We start from the raw sequence: 20,437 nt of genomic DNA on the forward strand, positions 1-20,437 counted from the left end.
CACCTGTTAACTCAGCTACTCAGGAGACTCAGACAGGAGAATCACTTGAACCCAGAAGGTGAAAGTTGAAGTGAGCCAGGATCACGCATGTCTTTCATACAAGACATCAGAAGGATTTAAACCATTATACTACAAATATTCATCATGCTCTTTGACTTGCCTGAAAATTGAGCAGGTACACAATGACAATTACACTTTAGATGAATGCACACTTCAAAGCTCCTCAGTGGAAGTGTCCTGAATTGGTCAGCTTGGATATATGTTTGGTGAATCCTATTATATGGTATTCATTATTTTTCATACCCATGTGGTATAATAATGAGCTTGCACTTTGGTATTTTCTGGTTTAACCTTCAGAAAGTTTTGTCAGTCACTCATGGGAACAAGGTATAATATACAAACCTAATCAAAATGTATAAAAAATTATCAAATTTGATGTACTTACACACAATAAAGTTGCTACAAGCATTAGATATGAATAACGTTGTCCATTTGGAAATCACTCCAATATTCATTAAAAAAATATATTTTAGGAGTCAATTAAAGAATTTAACATTATTTTTGTTTCTAAAATAAGTCTGGTTTGAAAGATCATGTTATTCTCTAAAGTATTTTCATTAAATTGCTATTTTATCCAAAAGTTTGCTCTCTGAACAACAAAGCCAGTGTATGCATATTTACATTTATCTCATTTGACTAACTGATAACAACAAAACATATATCTCTGATGCCCAATAATGACAAAGAGGGGTAACAGGTGACTGTGGTTTATCACAATTCTAGCACTAGCACTCTATCCTGCTTCCAGTAGTTCCTGGAGCAGCCAAAATCAAATCTTCCTTCATGCAAACATTCTAAAAGCATCTGAAGTGAGTTCCCTCAGGTTTCCTCAGCAGAAACCCCAAAAATTATATAAATAACTTCTTTTTCCTTCTTCCTGCCTCACAATCCTTCTTCCCTGAGGAAAATAATTACTATATCAGCGGTCTCCTTACTTCTTGTTCTATAGTGTTTATGGATTATTATGATCACTTCCTCCCTCTGGTTTTAGCAGTGTGATCTGGCGCCTATAATTTCTAGTACTTCATCTTGTTCTCCTTCCCCTCTTGATGGAAACATGCTGTAGAATTAAAGGAAAATTATGCTGTCCTCTCAGCCTGTTATGTCTTGAACTGCTCTCCAATGGTTCTTCTTCCCAATTTCAATGTAGGGAAGTCTATAATCTTACTATTCAGATCATGGCCAAAAATCAGCAGAATCACCATCACTCCAGAACTTATTACAAATGCAGAATCTCAGGCCCGCTGAATCAGAATGAGCAGCTTCAATGAGCCCCCTGCTGATTTATTTGGGGAAGGGAAGTTCTCCTCTATCTTGAGTGTACATGACATTAAATGTGTATTGCAAAATTACCTGTCCCAGATTTTTGTTCATCTTTTAGTTCTGTGGCTATGTTCAAAACAGAATCTTTCTTGTCACTTGTATCCTGAATGGGATTTCAAACAAAATAATCAATACATACAGTATATTTCATAGACTATACAGTTAATAATTCAAAATATGAATGAAGAGTGTAATACCTTCAAGGCCGGTTGTTTCTGAGAAGACACTGAAAACCAAAAGGGATACATAATCACTCGTATGTAAATATGATAAAGTTATCCATACTTTCATGCAGTGTTAGCATCAAGCTGTATCCTCCTGCCTGAATTAGCGTAGGCTTTGATGTTTTCTACTTTGTGTATTGGGACACGAACATGACAGAATTACACTGTAGAAAACAGAAGTATAGTCTTCACAAAACAAACACTTCCAATTTCATAGGTGATATTATTCTTCATATGTCTGTTACTACAATAAAACAGTGTCTATATCAATGTGGATATGCCGAGTGATGAGGAAAAATGTGATCTAAAATCAGAGTATCAACTCATACACTTGGGAATCAATGTCAAAGCAGGTGATTAATGCTCCTGCATGTTTTTCATGTAAGACATCAGAGGGATTTATACCATTATACTACAAATATTTATCATGCTCTTAAACTTGCCTGACAGTTGAGCAGGTAAACAATGACAATGGCACTTTAGTTGAATGTACACTTCTCAAGTGCTCTGTGGAAGTGTCCCTAATTGATCAGCTTAAATATATGTTTGGTGAATCCTAGCATATAATATTCTTTATTTCTCACACCCCTGTGGTGTCATAATGTGCCTACATTTCTCGTATCCTCTAGTTTAGCCTTCAGAAAGTTTCTTCATCCACTCATGGCAAGAAGGTATAATACATAAACCTCATCAAAAAGTATAAACCATCAAATTTGGCATACTTATACAAAATAATGTTACTAAAAGCATTAGATATGAATAAGCTTTTCCATTTGGAAATTGCTCTGATATTCATTGAAAATAACCACTTTAGGAGTCAATTAATGAATTCAACATTATTTTTGTTTCTAAAATAGTCTGTTTTGAAGGAACATGTTATTCTCTATTTTCATTAAATTGCTATTTTATCCAAAAGTTTGCTCTCTGAACAACAAAGCCAATGTATGCATATTTACATTTATCTCATCTGACTAACTGATAACAACAAAACATATATCTCTGATGCCCAATAATAACAAAGAGGGGTAACAGGTGACTGTGGTTTATCACAATTCTGGCACTCTATCCTGCTTCCAGTAGTTCCTGGAGCAGCCAAAATCAAATCTTCCTTCATGCAAACATTCTAAACGCATCTGAAGTGAGTTCCCTCAGGTTTCCTGAGCAGAAACCCTGAAATTAAATAAATAATTTCTTTTCCCTTCTTCCTGCCTCACAATCCCTCTTCCCTGAGGAAAATAATTACTACATCAGCGGTCTCGTTACTTCTCGTTCTATAGTGTTTATGGCTTATTATGATCACTTCCTCCCTCTGGTTTTAGCAGTGTGATCTGGCGCCTATAAATTCTAGTACTTCATCTTGTTCTCCTTCCCCTCCTGATGGAAACATGCTGTAGAATTAAAGGAAAATTATGCTGTCCCCTCAGCCTGTTATGTCTTGAACTGCTCTCCAATGGTTCTTCTTCCCAATTTCAATGTAGGGAAGTCTATAATCTTACTATTCAGATCATGGCCAAAAATCAGCAGAATCACCATCACTCCAGAACTTATTACAAATGCAGAATCTCAGGCCCACTGAATCAGAATGCGCAGTTCAATGAGCCCCCTGCTGATTTATTCGGGGAAGGGAAGTTCTCCTCTATCTTGAGTGTACATGACATTAAATGTGTATTGCAAAATTACCTGTCCCAGAATTTTGTTCATCTTTTAGTTCTGTAGCTATGTTCGAAACAGAGTCTTTCTTGTCACTTGTATCCTGAATAGGATTTCAAACAAAATAATCAATACATACAGTATATTTCATAGACTATACAGTTAATAATTCAAAATATGAATGAAGAGTGTAATACCTTCAAGGCCGGTTGTTTCTGAGAAGACACTGAAAACCAAAAGGGACACATAATCACTCGTATGTAAATATGATAAAGTTATCCATACTTTCATGCAGTGTTAGCATCAAGCTGTATCCTCCTGCCTGAATTAGCGTAGGCTTTGATGTTTTCTACTTTGTGTATTGGGACACGAACATGACAGAATTACACTGTAGAAAACAGAAATATAGTCTTCACAAAACAAACACTTCCAATTTCATAGGTGATATTATTCTTCATATGTCTGTTACTACAATAAAACAGTGTCTATATCAATGTGGATATGCCGAGTGATGAGGAAAAATGTGATCTAAAATCAGAGCAGCAACTCATACACTTGGGAATCAATGTCAAAGCAGGTGACTAATGCTCCTGCATGTTTTTCATGTAAGACATCAGAGGGATTTATACCGTTATACTACAAATATTTATCATGCTCTTAAACTTGCCTGACAATTGAGCAGGTACACAATGATAATGGCACTTTAGTTGAATGTACACTTCTCAAGTGCTCTGTGGAAGTGTCCCAAACTGATCAGCTTAAATATATGTTTGGCGAATCCCAGTATATAATATTCTTTATTTCTCACACCCCTGTGGTGTCATAATTTGCCTACATTTCTCGTATCCTCTAGTTTAGCCTTCAGAAAGTTTCTCCATCCACTCATGGCAAGAAGGTATAATATATAAACCTCATCAAAAAGTATAATAAACCATCAAAATTGGCATACTTATACAAAATAATGTTACTAAAAGCATTAGATATGAATAAGCTTTTCCATTTGGAAATTGCTCTGATATTCATTGAAAATAACCACTTTAGGAGTCAATTAATGAATTCAACATTATTTTTGTTTCTAAAATATCTGGTTTGAAGGATCATGTTATTCTCTAAAGTATTTTCATTAAATTGCTATTTTATCCAAAAGTTAGTTCCTTGAAAAACAAAGCCAATGTATGCATATTCATGATTATCCTATTCGAATAGCTAATACCAAGTAAACATATACCTCTGATGCCCAACAGTAACAAAGAGGGGTAATGAGTCACTGTGTGTCATCACAATTCTAGCACTCTATCCTGCTTCCAGTAGTTCCTGGAGCAGCCAAAATCTAATCTTCTTTTATGCAAATATTCCAAATGCATCTGAAGTTGAGTCCCATCAGGTTTCTGCAGCAGAAACCCCAAAATTACATAAATAACATCTCCTTTTCCCTCCTTCTTGCCTCTCAATCCCTCTTCCTTGAGTAAAATAATTACCACATCAGACGTCTCCTTAGTTCTCTTTCTACATTGTTTATGGGTTATTCCAATCACTTCTTCCATGTGGTTTTAACAATATGATCTGATGCCTATAATTTTTATTACTTAATCTCTTTCTCCTTCCCTTTACAATGGAAACAGGCTGTAGAATTAAAGCAAGAATATGCTGTCCCTTAGCCTGTTATATCTTGCACTGCTCTCCAATCGTTCTTGCCAATTTCACTGTGGGGAAGAATATAATCTTACTACTCAGATCATGGCCAAGGAACAGTAACATCAGTGTCACCCGAGAACTTATTACAAAAGCAGAATCTCAGGCCTGCTGAATCAGATTGTGCAGATTCAATGAGCCCCCTGCGATTTATTCAGGGAAGAGAAGTTCTCTTCTATCCTGAGTGAACATGACATTAAATGTGTATTGCAAAATTACCTGTCCCAGATTTTTGTCCATCATTTATTTCTGTGGCTATATTTGAAACAGAATCTTTCTTGTCACTTGTAGCCTGAATGGAATTTGAGACAAAATAATCAATACATAAAGTGTATTTCACAGACTATATAGTTAATAGTTCAAAACAGAAATGAATGTGTAATTACCTTCAAGGCTGGTTGTTTCTGAGAACACACTGAAAAGCAAAAGGGATACATAATCAGTCATATGTAAATATGATAAAATTATCCATACATTCATGCACTGTTACCATCAAGCTGTATCCTCCTGCCCCTATTAGTTTAGGTTTTTAAGTTTTATACTTTATGTCTTGGGACTGGAACATGACAGAAATACACTGAAGAAAACACCAATACAGGCTTCATGAAATATACACTTACAATTTCAAACATGATATGATTTGTCACATGTCTAAAACTAAAATGAAACAGTGTCAGTATCAATGTGGATATGCGGAGGGATAAAAACAAATGTGGTCTAAAAACAGAGGAGCAACTCACGCACCTGGGAATCAATGTCAAAGCAGGTGGTACGTGCTCTCACATGTCTTTAGTGCAAGAGATGAGAAGGAAATACACCATTATACTACAATCATTCATCATGCTCTTTAACTGGCCCAATAACTGAGAAGGTACACAATTATGATGACACTTCAGCTGAATGTACATTTCACATCTCCTCAGTGGAAGCGTCCTAAATTGATCAGCTTGGATATATATTTGGTGAATCCTAGTAGACAGTATTCATTATTTCTCAGACCCATGTGGTGTAATTATTGCCCAAGTTTCTTGTGTTCTGTAGTTCAGTCTTCTGAAAGTTTTTTCATCTACTCACGGCAATAAGGTATAATATGTAAACCTCAATAAAAAGTATCATCATTTATCAATATTGACATACTTCTACAAAATAAAACTGCTACAAGCATTAGATATTAATAAGCTTTCACATTTGGAAATGACTCCAATATTCATTGAAAATAACCATTTTATGAATCAATTAATGAATTCAACATTATTCTTGTTTCTAAAATAGTCTGGTTTGAAGTATCATGTTATTCTCTAAGGAATTTTTATTAAATTGCTATTGTATCCAAAAGTTAGCTCCTTGAAAAACAAAGCCAATGTATGCACATTCATGTTTATTTCATTTGAATGACTAATATCAACAAAATCTATGTCTCTGATTCCCAATAGTAACAAAGAGAAGTAACGAGTCACTGTGGTTTATCTGAATTCTAGTACTCTTTCCTTCTTCCAGTAGTTTCTGGAGCAGCCAAAATCAAATCATCTTTTATGCAAATATTCTAAATGCATCTGAAGTGAGTTCAGTTATACTTAGAGTCATAATTTAAAAAATCATTTTCTTTGTACTCATGAAGGCTCCTAAGATTCCTACATTTCCCAGATTCAGCAGTTCAGCTCTTTTGCCATCTCTTTTTCCACTTTTGCAAAAACATACATGTCAAAGAAATCATGCATAATCAGATTCCCATGTAAATAAGGTAAACAAAATCTCTAAATTACAAGAGACTTCTTTTTTTATTAGTAACCAACAAAATATATACATACGTACATATATATATGTGTGTGTGTGTGTGTGTGTGTGTGTGTGTGTCATGATTGCCAAGAATATTGGTAGTTTTTTTTAGTACTCAAGATATACATTCTTTTATTACTTTGTTTCTAAAGCTAGTTTGAAATAATATACCATAGGGATCTCTCAGGTCCTTTTATGAAATAACTACCTCAGCAAACACACCTTTCCTAAAGAAAAAAAAAAACACTTTTTCTAGATTACGCTGCATCCCAATATGCTAACTGATGTGAACGAAGCACATATCATTGATGTGCAAAACTTCTAGGGAGGAGAAATGAAACCCTGGGGGTCACCCTCATCCTTCTAACTTCCGCTTTCCATTAAGTGACTCCCCACAAGTCTCCTCATCAGAAACCCCCAAATTACCTAGCTAGCCACTTTCTTTGTTCTGCCCAATTTGACATACACTCCTTTTCATTCATAAATCTAATATCCATATTGGTGGACTTCATTCTTTGCCCTCCACATTCATTTCTTCATTATTCTCACCACTACTGTATTGTGACATCTGTACAATCCCATTCTGACACATGTGAAGATAAGGTTTTGCTTTATTAAAATGTTAAATGTATCAGACACTTGACTAATGTGTACAAATTCCTTCTTCACAAAAGCAGCCCCATGGCCTTCTCTCTCCCATAGACACTCTTTCACAGCTGTTCTTCACTCACATCGGTTTGAGTATCTATCATCTCTCATTTTGTCTCTATGCTTTCACCTCATATCATGAGTTATTATCATAGGCTTAGCAGCCTATCTTACCTATTTTCCTCTCCAGGAGAAAGTACTGAGTAGTAAATTAGAATCTTCCAGGATATGAACACTTTCACGTACACAAGACTTTGTGGAGCTATTTTATGTTTAACTACACATAAAACCACTATGTCTATGCCTTCCAGAGAAACGGGCTCTGAAATGTTATTGAACATAACCTATTTAAAAACTTCTTTAACTACAATGACACTGCCTCTCCTCAATGCACCAACATCTTCAGAAATAACTTGTGAAGACTTGAAAACATGTCAGTAATTGACATGAAAAATGAAGAATGATGTAATTTTTTGCAGGTATAAATAAGACATGCTGAGATCCTTACTAGATCCAAGAAGAGAAGAGTGCCATGAGACAGGAAATAAATATGGAACAGAAATATTTTCATCTGTAATGAAAATTATTCTATTTACAGTTTTCAGAAGAGAAAAAAATACACACACACACACACACACATTCACACACAAAAACCAGAGCAATACGGCTTTACAGGGTGTTTTTTCTTCAAAAGCCTATTTGTCATTTGACAACTGGGAACACTCTATAGGGATCAACAAAGGGGTTCTAAATTGTGACCTGAGTAGTTTAGAGTTTAAAATTCATGAGGGGGAGTCAAGAGGACAAGTAACACTTTGACCATTGGCCATTTCCTCTCCTTACTGTCATTCTCTGAAAAGCACACACTGGATTTTCTCAGGATCATGACATGTCAAAAAGACATGCTTTAAGGGGGAAACAGTTGCAATCAACACAGCCATGGGAGAGATACAGCTATGCTTGCTAGGATTTCCAATACTTCTGTTTCATTTCTAATATAGTACAAGTCATTAAAAGCAACCACATAAGCATATCCATGCTGGTATCTCATCATATTTATGTCCATATGGTATCAGCATGAAGAGAGCATAATTAAATATGCTGCAGTCATCACATGGCATATCATTAGATCATACAATAAATCGAATACCTCACTGGGTCAACGTGGATAGATCTGAAATATATATCACTGATTTTACAAAGACCAAGTTGCAGTCATTGTGTGCACTGTCTGAACTTTTCTACAAGGTTTTAATACACAAAATCACGTTCTACATGTTATCTATGAATGTGCACATATGTTATAAGAGGTTTTTAATGTGTATTTGGGTGATTTCTTTTTCTTTTTTTAAAAAAAATTAAGTTCTTGGTTAGATGTCGTCAATAAGTTTTAGTAGTATAGAAAACCCTAAGACCATGACAGCTCAGAATGACTGTCTTAAAAGGCTATGTCTACCAAAGAGTCAGGAAAGCACGACTACTTACTTTCTTCATTTTTACAACTCAGAGGTACCCCACGCACACTCCCAAATAAAGCTGCACACAAGTTCTTTAGTTTAATTAGATCCCATTTTTCAATTTTGGCTTTTGTTGCCATTGCTTTTGGTGTTTTAGTCATGAAGTATTTGCCCATGCCTATGTCCTGAATGGTACTGCCTAGGTTTTCATCCAGGGTTTTTACACATTTAGAACTTACTTTTAAGTCTTTAATGCATCTTGAGTTAATTTTTGTATAAAGTGTAAGGAAGGGGTCCAGTTTCAGTTTCCTGCATAAGGCTAGCCAGTTTTCCCAACACCATTTATTAAATAGGGAATCCTTTCCCCATTGCTTTTGTCAGGTTTGTCAAAGATCAGATGGTGTAGATGTATGGCATTATTTCTGAGGCCTCTGTTCTGTTCCATTGGTCTATATATCTCTTTTGGTACCACTACCATGCTGTTTTCATTACTGTAGCCTTGTAGTATAGTTTGAAGTCAGGTAGCATGATGCCTCTAGCTTTGTTATTTTTGCTTAGGATTGTCTTGGCTATATGGGCTCTTTTTTTGGTTCCATATGAAATTTAAAGTAGTTTTTTCTAATTCTGTGAAGAAAGTCAATGGTAGCTTGATGGGTATAGCATTGAACTTACAAATTACTTTGGGAAGTATGGCCATTTTCAAGATATTGATTCTTCCTATCCATGAGCATGGAATGTTTTTCCATTTGTTTGTGTCCTCTTATTTCCTTGAGTGGTGGTTTGTAGTTCTCCTTAAAGAGGTCCTTCAAATCCCTTGTGAGTTGTATTCCTTGCTATTTTATTCTCTTTGTAGCAATTGTGTATGGGAGTTCACTCATGATTTAGTGCTCTATTACTGGTGTATAGGAACGCTTGTGAATTTTGCACATTGACTTTGTATCCTGAGACTATGAGGAAGTTGCTTATCAGCTGAAGGAGATTTGGGGCTGAGACAATTTGGTTTTCTAAATATACAATCATGTCATCTGCAAACAGAGACAATTTGACTTCCTTTCTTCCTATTTGAATACCGTTTATTTCTTTCTCTTGCCTGATTACCCCGGCCAGAACTTCCAATACTATGATCAGAGTGAACAGGCAACCTACAGAATGGGAGGAAATGTTTGCAATCTGTCCATCTGACAAAGGCCTAATATCTAGAATCTACAAGGAACTTAAACAAATTTACAAGAAAAGAACAATCTCATCAAAAAGTGGGCAAAGGATATGAACAGACACTTCTCAAAAGAATACATTTACGCAGCCAACAAACATCTGAAAAAAAGCTCATCATCACTGATCATTAGAGAAATGCAAATCAAAACCACAATGAGATACCATCTCACGCCATTTAGAATGGCAATCGTTAAAAGGTCAGGAAACAACAGATGCTGGAGCAGATGTGGAGAAATAGGAATGCTTTTACACTGTTGGTGGGAGTGTCAATTAGTTCAACCATTGTGGAAGGCAGTGTGGTGATTCCTCAAGGATCTAGAACCGGAAATACCATTTGAGCCAGTAATCCCATTACTGGGCATATATTTGGTGTGTGTGTGTGTGTATATATATATATGTGTGTACAGTGGCTTGTCCCTATAATCTCAGCTACTCAGAAGGCTGAGGCAGAAGTATCACTTGAGAAGCCCAGGAGCTTGAGAACAGCCTGGGCAACATAGCAAGACTCTTTACTAAAAAAAATCATGGAGGCTGGGCACAGTGGCTCATGCCTGTGATCTCAGCATTTTGGGAGGCCAAGGCGGGTGGATCACGTGAGGTCAAAAGTTTGAGACCAGCCTGGCCAAACATGGTGAAACCCCATCTCAACAAAAATACAAAAAAAAAATTAGCCAAGTGTGGTGGCACACGTATGTAATCCCAGCTACTCGGGAGGCTGAGACAGGAGAATCGCTTGAACCCAGGAGGCAGAGGTTGCAGTGAGCCGAGATTGTGCCATTCCACTCCAGCCTGGGTGACAGAGTGAGACTTCATCTCAAAAGAAAAAACAAATCATGAACTTTTGTACATGCCTTAGACCTTGTAGGAAAAATATTATAAGACTTTGATGCTTTATTACAGAGACTCTCATGATTTGTTACAAAGCAGTGCTTTAGAAACATACTTGGAGGCTATACTAAAATTATTATTTATACTATTTGTAGGCAACTAATGAATTAAGAACTCTTATTTCCTTTCTTACATGCTTAGCATATACTTATCAAATGCAAAGAAGAATATATTATCAAAATTTGTTACCTTACATGTGAATTGCGGTATAAAATAGTCATAATTCTAACAGAATTATATCAGACTGACAGAAAATGGCATCATTAGTAGAATCAATATAATGAGCAGGCATTGTCAAAGAACATGATTTCTGGACAAATGAACCAGGTGCAGCTAGAACAGCAGTCCCCCTTATCTGCTGTATGTGTAGAAAACACATATTCAACATGATGTTCCCCTTCTCTCACACCGCAACAACAATCATCAACACAGAAGATTTCTGTGACCAAATATGTATTTTTCCCCAGCAACAAGCAAACAATCAATTCCGATGGGTGCCCTCTAATTCTGACACTATCTACTTGGGGATTATCTACAGGTTGAGGGCTCAGTACCACAAGGCTATTCCCCCACAGCAGTTACAAGTCTGGGCCTCCAGAACTTCTAATCAACTTCCAGTTGGACTTCAAGTTGGGTTTCCCAGGACCCCCTCTTTGGTTTCATTAATTTACTAGAGTGGCTCAGAGAACTCATGGAAACACATTTACCAGTTTCTTATAAAGAATATTAAAGGATACAGATAAAGAGATGCATAGTGCAAGATATGGGGGGAAAGTAACACACTTCCATGTCCTCCCAGGGCACTCACCCTCTGGGAACATCCATGTATTCTCCATATGCCTTCATGTATTGAATGAGAGCATCCAGGTAGCTGAATACAGCTACCTGGATGCTCTCCAAATCCAATCCTTTTGGGATTTTATGAAAGCTTCCTTACATAGGCATGACTGATTAATTGAACATTCAGCCCCTCTCACATCCCAGGTGGTGAGGGGTGGGGCTGGAAGCCCCAACCCTCTAATCACACCCTGATCACTCTGATGATGAGCCCCACCCTGAAGCCATCTGGAGGCTGCCTGCCATAAGTCAATCATTAGCATACAAATGATATCATGTTGGAAGTTCTGAGGATTTTAGGAGTTGTATGACAGAAAATGGGGTTGAAGACCAAATACATATTTCATAATATGACATTGGTGGTTTTATTGACTGCAGATTCAGTTACCCACGGTCAACCATGGTCCATAAATAAAATTCCAGATGTATATACATCATAAGGTTTAAATTGCATAAGATTCTGAGTAGTATGATAAAATTTGAGCCATTACATCCCAGCCTGCCCAAGATGTGAATCATCCCTTTGTCAAGTGCATGCACATTATATATGATATCTGCTCACTAGTCATTGACATAATCTGTACCTAACATCCAACCAACAACATCATCATGGCTCACGGATCCAAGATCACGTGAAGCAGATGATCTTCTTTCTGACATATAGTCAAATAGAAGGTCAATAATAGCCCAAGACTACATGGCAATGCCTACTGCATTTGCCTCACTTATCACATAGCCATTTTATCATCTCACATCAGTGCAGAAAGTAGGGTGACTATAGTACATGATATTTTGTGAGCTCACATTCACTTAACTTTTATTACAGTATATTGTTACAATTGATCCACTTTACCATTAGATATTATTAATCTCTTATTGTGCCTAATTTATGCATTAAATTTTATTATAGATATATATGTATTTTTAAAAATTGTTGTATGCATAGAGTTCAGCACTATTCATGTTTTCAGGCATTCACTAAGGGTCTTGAAATGTATCCCCCATGTATAAGAGGAAATTACTGTACTTATTTTGTTGAAACACAAGTTTCTCCACTTCTTCAGTTTAAACTATTCAGGATAAAGCACTCTAATACAAAAAATCTAGGTCTATGAAAACTGTACTCTATTCTATGGCAAATCACAGCATACAGACCAGGGTCAAGGATCCCTGCAAAGACTTTTCAGCTGCCAGTGCAGAAGAGCCTAAGAGAGATCAGTATCCTTACCTTCACTAATCCTCTCCTAGGGAAGATTCTGGTAAGTTTGCTTAGTTCTAGCTATTCATTCACCCTATGTAGGGCACAAACAATGCTTAAATTCAGCTTTCATTTTAGCTCCTTCAAAAAAACACACACAGAGGAAATAGCACTCCCTTAAAAGCTTATCCAATCTGAGTCTTGTCTCCTTTTCAGAGAGAAGCTTATAAAGAAATGCCGGGGAGGTATGGCAAGTTGCCAGGGAGGACTTTCTAATATATAAAATATATATAAAGGAACCATAAACTCACTGGAGCTACCAAGATGTGCCAACAGTTGTCCCACTACCTAGTGGGAAAAACAACAACAACAACAAATCTTTGTCACTTTAGGTAAACAAAAATAGTATGACTCTCTTGGCATTTTTCATGATGGAGAACCTAGTTATAAGTGAGTCATGTTATAATAATATAGACTGTTTTCAAACTGATCCCTCAAAGAAAGAAGGTAAATAAGAAACATATTTGTATGCCTATAGTATTCACTAGCTGGTCTTATTTCCAACTGCAAGGTAAATAGGAAAGACTTTCTGACTCCAGTTTTATAAAGTACAGCATCTTGAGATTGTCCCTTTCCACTTCTAGTCTATCTGGACCCATCTCACAGAGAAGGATGATCCAGTTAGTGCTGTGTAGTACACAGCATGAAGCCATTTTCCTCAACCCTCCTCATTATGTGGCAAATGTCTATATAAATTATGATTTTTCAACATGTAAAGCATATGCCATTAAATCCTACATTAATAAACTAAAAGCAAAAAAGCACAATGGATAGCTTAATTGAATACATTCAATTATCTTGGAAATTTATGTTTTGTAATATTGAAAAAGATATCCACTATATTATCCTTAATATATGACTATGCTGGACATATCAAAACTATGGAGACAGCAAAAATATTAGTAGTTGACAGGGGTTAGTTGGGAGGGAGGAATAAAAAAAGAGAGACGAATTTCAGGGCAGCGAAAGTATTCTAACGGCAGGTACATTTATTATATATTTGTCCAACTATATAGAAGGTACAATACCAAAAGGGAACTAAGATATAAACTATGGACTTTGGGTGATTATTATGATCCAGCAATGTAAGCTTCTCAGTTGTAACAAATGTACCACTCAGGTGGGAGATATTCATAATGGGGGGAGCTATGCATGTGAGGGGGGATGGCATATATGAAAAATCTCTTTAGGTTCTTTTCAATATTGCTGGGAATATAAAACTGCTCTTAAAATAAAGTTATTAATTTTTTTAAAAGATTTTCACTGCATCTTCTATTACTAATATATTGCTATAATATATTGCCATATATTATAGCAAGATGTACTCAATTTGAAACACAATATGAATATTCTCTCCAGAATTATAGTATATAAAAGTACATAAAGCAAATAACTATATTAACAGGCAAGAAAATAATGGATAAATGATTGATTTTTTAAATTTCATAATTATAAACAGAAATTTAACAAAATATAAAACAAAACTGAAACCTATATAATTAAAATGAAACAAATTTTTTATTTTAATTTTAAATCAGAAATCATTACTTATTTTATCTATTTTACTGAAAGGTTAATTGAATAAGAACAGATTATAATTACCTAATATTACCATAGTAACTTCTGTATAGAAACCTGTTAAATATTCACCAAAATTCCAAAATCTAACAGCACAGAAACTTAGTATTTCATATTAAGTTGCAACTGACGCAAATGAAATAAGCACCATGCTATGTTATATCACCATGTTATTCACTATTAAATAGAATTTTTAAGACACTAAAATTAAGTTGGGGCTGTAACTGCTGTGAAGAAAATAATTCATATAACAGTCATAAGACTGTCATTCTTAGAAATGCCTACATGCAAAACTGGCCCTTCGCTGGTGTTTGGAAATTTGCATTTTAAAGGTTTGTCACCATTTCCTGAGAAAAGTAGCTCACTGTACCTAAACTGTTTGCATAAACAATGTGGTTGACTCTGAACAGCTGCTTTTCTTCTGGAAGTGTGGAATTTTTGTATATGTGTGAGAGAGAATGCTTATGTAACTAGCTTCCATAAAAACCTTGGATACTGTCTTGTCAGACTCATATTGGTAGACAATACTGCCCATGTGCTGTCAAAATTCAAAGCTACAGGAATTCAGCACATCCTGGTAACTTCACAGAAGAGGGCTCCTGGAAGCTTGTGCCTGGCTTCCCCAAGACTTGCCACATGCCCCTTTGACCTGAGCCAATTTTACTTTGTATTATTTCACAGTAACAAATCAAAACCCAGAGTAGGACTGTTTGCTGAGTCCTTACAAGTGAATCACCAAACACAGAGGTGGTCTTGGGAAACTCTGACACAGTGGCATTACATGAAATTAGTTTTCTTTAAGGTGATGTGACCTGTGACTACAATCAGAAGGCTGTTTATAGAATACCTTTCCCTAATCTGTTTTCCTTAACAGTTGCCTTTGAGATTCCTGTATTTCCACATGAATAAATCCATAAAGGAATAGAAATAATTATGCCAAAAAAATGAAAAACAAGCAGCAATCCTATTTTAACCAGAATAAAAAATTGAGAATATGGATGATTAAAAATATACCCCATAGTATGAAAGCTTCTAGAAGAGAAACAAAAAGATCACAGCCAATTGTCTTCAACTCTCCAAGGTTTCTTTTATAATAATTGGGGATCAGGCCAGGCACAATGACACACACCTGTAGTCCCAACTACTCCAACGGCTGAGGCAGGAAGATTGCTTGAGATCAAAAGTTCGAGGTTGCAGTGGAGATTGTGCCTGTGAATAACCATTGCACTCCAGCCTGGGAAACAGAGTGAGACCCTGTCTCTAAAATGTATTAGTAGGCTGGGGGTGGTGGCTCATGCCTGTAATCCAAACACTTTGGGAGGCTGGGGCGGGTGGATCACAAGGTCAGGAGATGGAGACCATCCTGGCTAACATGGTGAAACCCCATCTCTACTAAAAATATAAAAATTAGCTGGGCGTGGTGGTGCACGCCTGTAGTCCCAGCTACTAGGGAGGCTGAGGCAGGAGAAGCACTTCAACCCAGGAGGCAGAGGTTGCAGTGAGCCAAGATCACACCACTGCACTCCAGCCTGGGCAACAGAGTGAGACACAGTCTCAAAATATATATATATATATTAATAAAAACATATGTAAAATAATTTGCATCATTCAGGTCATTGTGATAATTATAGAAATATATGTAGCCATTGGTTATAATACTGTACTATCAATCATAGAGCTCATTTAATTTGTTTCTAATCTTTTTTCTTAAGTTCTTATAAAACTAAAAATATCTATTAAAACTAAAAATCATCTGTTAAAGGCAGTTCTTCACAGAACAGGTCAAAAAGTCAAAAACTGCATTTAAAATATAAGACGAGTTATCCACTTCTCCTCCTAAACAGTGGGTTTTTATTATTAAGGGCCAATAGGACTTTAAACTCATTTTGGGGGATAAAGGAAGTTATGGACCAGCACGATGGCTCATGACTATAATTCCAGCACTTTGGGAGGCTGAGGCAGGAGGATCACTTGAAGCCAAAAGTTTGAGACTGGCCTGGGCAACAGAGAGAGACCCTTGTCTCTAAAAAATAAAAAATAAAAAAGTTAGCTTGGTGTGGTGGCATATGCTTGTAGCAGTCTCAGCGACTTAGGAGGCTGAAGTAAGAGGACCACTTGAACCCAGAAGTTTGAGGCTGCAGTGAGCTATGATCACACTATTGCACTCCAGCCTGGGAAACAGCAAAAGACTCAATCTCAAAAAAAAAAAAAAATCAAGAAAGTTATATATAGATGGTTAAAGGTGTGGTAATCCAACCGACCAAATATTCCAGCTAAGTAACAGATTACCAATATTCGAAGAAATATAGCACCAGAAAAGTGTTTTACATTAAAACTATGTCAAGTTTGAAAACTTAAAAGACACCTTAAGTGTCTTAACTTAATTTGAAAATTTAAAAGACACTTAAAGTTTGAAAACTTAAAAGAAACTTAAAATCTTAAAGGACCAGCATCACTTACACTGTCACTGTGCTAAAGATATAAAGAAGTTTAGCATTAAAGATTAATAGAATACCAGACATACTTTAGAATAGGTAGCTAATTCTCTTAAAAGAAAATCATATATAGTTGTCAAAAATACCTATGTTAGAAATGTGTTCTAATAATATTTTCTTTAGGGATGAAATTCAAAAGAAAACAGTAAAAGTAGAGATATTAGAAGAGGTCATGAAAAGGGAATTGCACTAAAACAAAGTGTCCCAGAACACAGAGACTTGGTATACTTAGCATATCACCTTATATTTTTCTCCATAACATTATATAAAAGATGTCAGCTTCTCCAAACTGCTCGTCTGTAGACTACTTCCAATTGAAACTTGAAACTCTCGAAATGTGGCTGTGTTATGATTCCATGTTGGAGGGAGTTGGGATGTATGTGCTTTGGACAATCTGGTTCCAGTTACTGCTGCCAGACTTTTGTTTCAGAATGCATCCAGAAGAACTTATCAGGGATTTCAGTACAAACTAAGTATTTCCACAAGGAGCAGATAAGAAGACCACAGTTTTTCTCACACATTACCCTTAGGTTTTGACAGTTCTGTAAAAGAGTGGGCACATGTCAGAAGTCAAGACCATTTTCCCTGACCCTGTGCATGTAGCTTCTGCAGTTACAAAAGAGTTACGTAGGATCTTGGTAGATTTGTTCCTCCATATTTGGACACCAGATATACCAATCACATCAACAGCTCACATTACACCTCAAAAATGGTTCTTTTGAAAAGGGTACTGCCAAAGAGCTTTTAAAAGTTAAATCTAATTGGCTTTTTAGTAATCTTACTTGTTAGAATTGATACTCCCTCCTTAAAATTCTCACATTTTTATTTTTGCCACATCACTTCCTCTGACTCCTCTCCTACTTTTCTCTAGCCACTGCTCATTCTCCTTTACCAATTCTTTTTCTCCTGGGGGCGGGAGGGAATGTTGACATTCCCAGGGTTTTGTCACTGGATGCCTTCTCATTCTACATCTGCATCATGGACAGTTGAGATCGATGACTTTGCCTAATAATTATAACAACATCATTCTACGTCTGCATCTCCAACCTCAGAGTTGGAGGGAAGGGAAGTTACTCTTCTCTGTTGACCAGCTGTACTTCTCCATTCAGTGAACACATCCTACTCCTTTCTCCTGTGCAGTATAAAGGCCAGTACACAACCTGGAAACCTATGAATGATCCAAGATTTCTCTCTCCCCACTAATGTTTTATATTCAATGTTCACTAAATCATATTAACTGTACCTCTTTTCTGCTTCTGCTTTATATTTCTACTGCTACCAAATAAATATGTTTATATTTCCTAGATCAACATGGCCTCTTCATTGATGGTTTTCACAGGAAAAAAGTCCCTACCAACTATTATTTTTTTATAAATAAAAAATTAAGTAAAACAAATGAAGAAGCCATAAGGGCAAGAAAAAGACCAACATTTTAAAATGAGTAAATGGAGTAAATTTACTTTATTTTATCATGGATGGGTGAACACCTTACACTAGATTGATAGTAGTTCAAGCATCGAACTAAAAGGAAACTACAGCTTTAACTACTGCAAAACTTCCTTTCTCTAGCTTACTTTCTTGTACTCAGAATACAATATATAATATATATAACATACCAAATATGTATTTTCATCAGCATGGGCATTGGCAGCACTAAATCCCATGTTGTTCAAGGGCCAACTGTAATTACTGATTCATTTACTAACTGCAAAGAATTTATTTTACAAGTTAAATAGAAGTTCTAATTATATAAAAAGTCTAATTCATTATTATGTGACTATAAAAAACCATGCAATGTAATAACTTAAAAATTTGTTTTCTTATTTACACAGAAAGATCATCTAGAATATTAGGAACCATCATAAAATAATAATTTTTTCAAACAATACTGAGATGAGATTATAAACTACCTACAATTAACTTTTTAAATAATTAGAAAATCTAGACTACTAAGTATTTTTTAAATGTGTGCAATTTAAACTGATTTTTTTAAACTGTTTTTTTGTAATCAAAACATCTTTATTCTTTTTTATCTATGGTAGTACCATCAAGAGTAATTCACTATCATAAATCTTACCTGGATTGCTATTTATAGAAAGCTCTTCATATTTCTTTCTTTTGTATTCAGAAATTAGTTCGGCAATGCTATGTATAAAAATAAATGAAATTAATATTTTAATACCATTATCAAAAACATTTACCAAATATACTAAATTATTAGAGTATCTTGAACAATATCAGGATGTTAATTATCCTATACACTTCTCTTCTGTAAGCTCTACAAACTTCTTAGTACCTTTCTAATTAAATAATAAAAACAGGTGAAGTACTCATGAAGTGAAGGCAGTATAGCTCAGCAAACTATCTCACATCAGCTTGACATAATGGAAAGTCACCTTCCTGGCTCTTACTGGAAGGTCCTGGCTCTATAGCCAACAGGTATTTGCTCTTAAACAAGTTGCTTCTCTTATGCACAATGTCTTCTTCTAGATTTTACTATCTTCTTTCACTAGGTTGTTATATAGGTTTAATGAAGTAGCATTTTTAACATTCACAGAGAAATAGTAAAGCAGTGGAATTTGTTCTTGAACTTTATTGCTGAAACTATTTTGAAATCCCAAATCAAACCCAATGTGTATTTTTTCATAGGTTCTAATATTCAAATGCTTCAGTTTAAGAAAAATGTTAAGTCCTAATTTTGCTTATTGTTCTATTATTTGTGGCTTATAATTCAGGGCATCTCAACTATTTCATAATTCATAAATAAATTAATTTATGAATACATTATTTCATTAAAATAGGTAACACGATTGTTCACTATTATTGAGCTCATCAATTCCAAGGGCAGAAAACTAACAGATGTCAAGATCTGGCTTGGGCTACCACTATTACTTCTCTGCAGACTCTAACTGAACCAGCAGATGTTTGCCAGAATGATGGTTAATCTCCATCAGTGATGTTATCTCCAACTGACATGGAAGACAAAACCCTACTTTCATTTTTTTTAAGTTCCATGAAGTAGATGAAAGTTGACATTTTCTCATTTCCAAGATACATACTAACAAAATATTTACACAACACCCCATGTGTTACTTATCTCCATTCTCAGTTTATAGATCACCTTACACAAATGTTTTTGTAGTGAAAAATCACAATTCAAATATAAGGGGCCACCCATTTTGTTTCAATTCAAACTGTGACTTAGCTAGCCAGCAAACAGTCAAATGACCTTCCCCTGACTGCAAAATATGAAATGTCTCACGATGCTAATTTTCTCTGTATTGTTCCAATTTTAGTATTTGTGCTGCCAAAGCAAGTACAAAGCCTTACTTTTAC

At 35.6% G+C, this 20,437-nt stretch overlaps 1 non-coding gene across 1 annotated transcript; it reads right to left on the reverse strand.

Moving 5' to 3' along the window:
* Window positions 1-1,422: 1,422 nt before the first annotated feature.
* Window positions 1,423-17,634, reverse strand: LOC102724207 (ankyrin repeat domain-containing protein 36C-like). The gene is made up of 7 exons (XR_001752130.1): window positions 17,342-17,634; window positions 5,336-5,364; window positions 5,169-5,241; window positions 3,455-3,483; window positions 3,288-3,360; window positions 1,581-1,609; window positions 1,423-1,486 (listed from the first exon to the last, which is right to left on the reverse strand). It is a non-coding gene; the product is annotated as an ankyrin repeat domain-containing protein 36C-like (transcript).
* Window positions 17,635-20,437: the final 2,803 nt, after the last annotated feature.

This window comes from Homo sapiens, chromosome 16 (genome assembly GCF_000001405.40).
Source record: "Homo sapiens chromosome 16, GRCh38.p14 Primary Assembly".
NCBI lineage: Eukaryota > Metazoa > Chordata > Mammalia > Primates > Hominidae > Homo > Homo sapiens.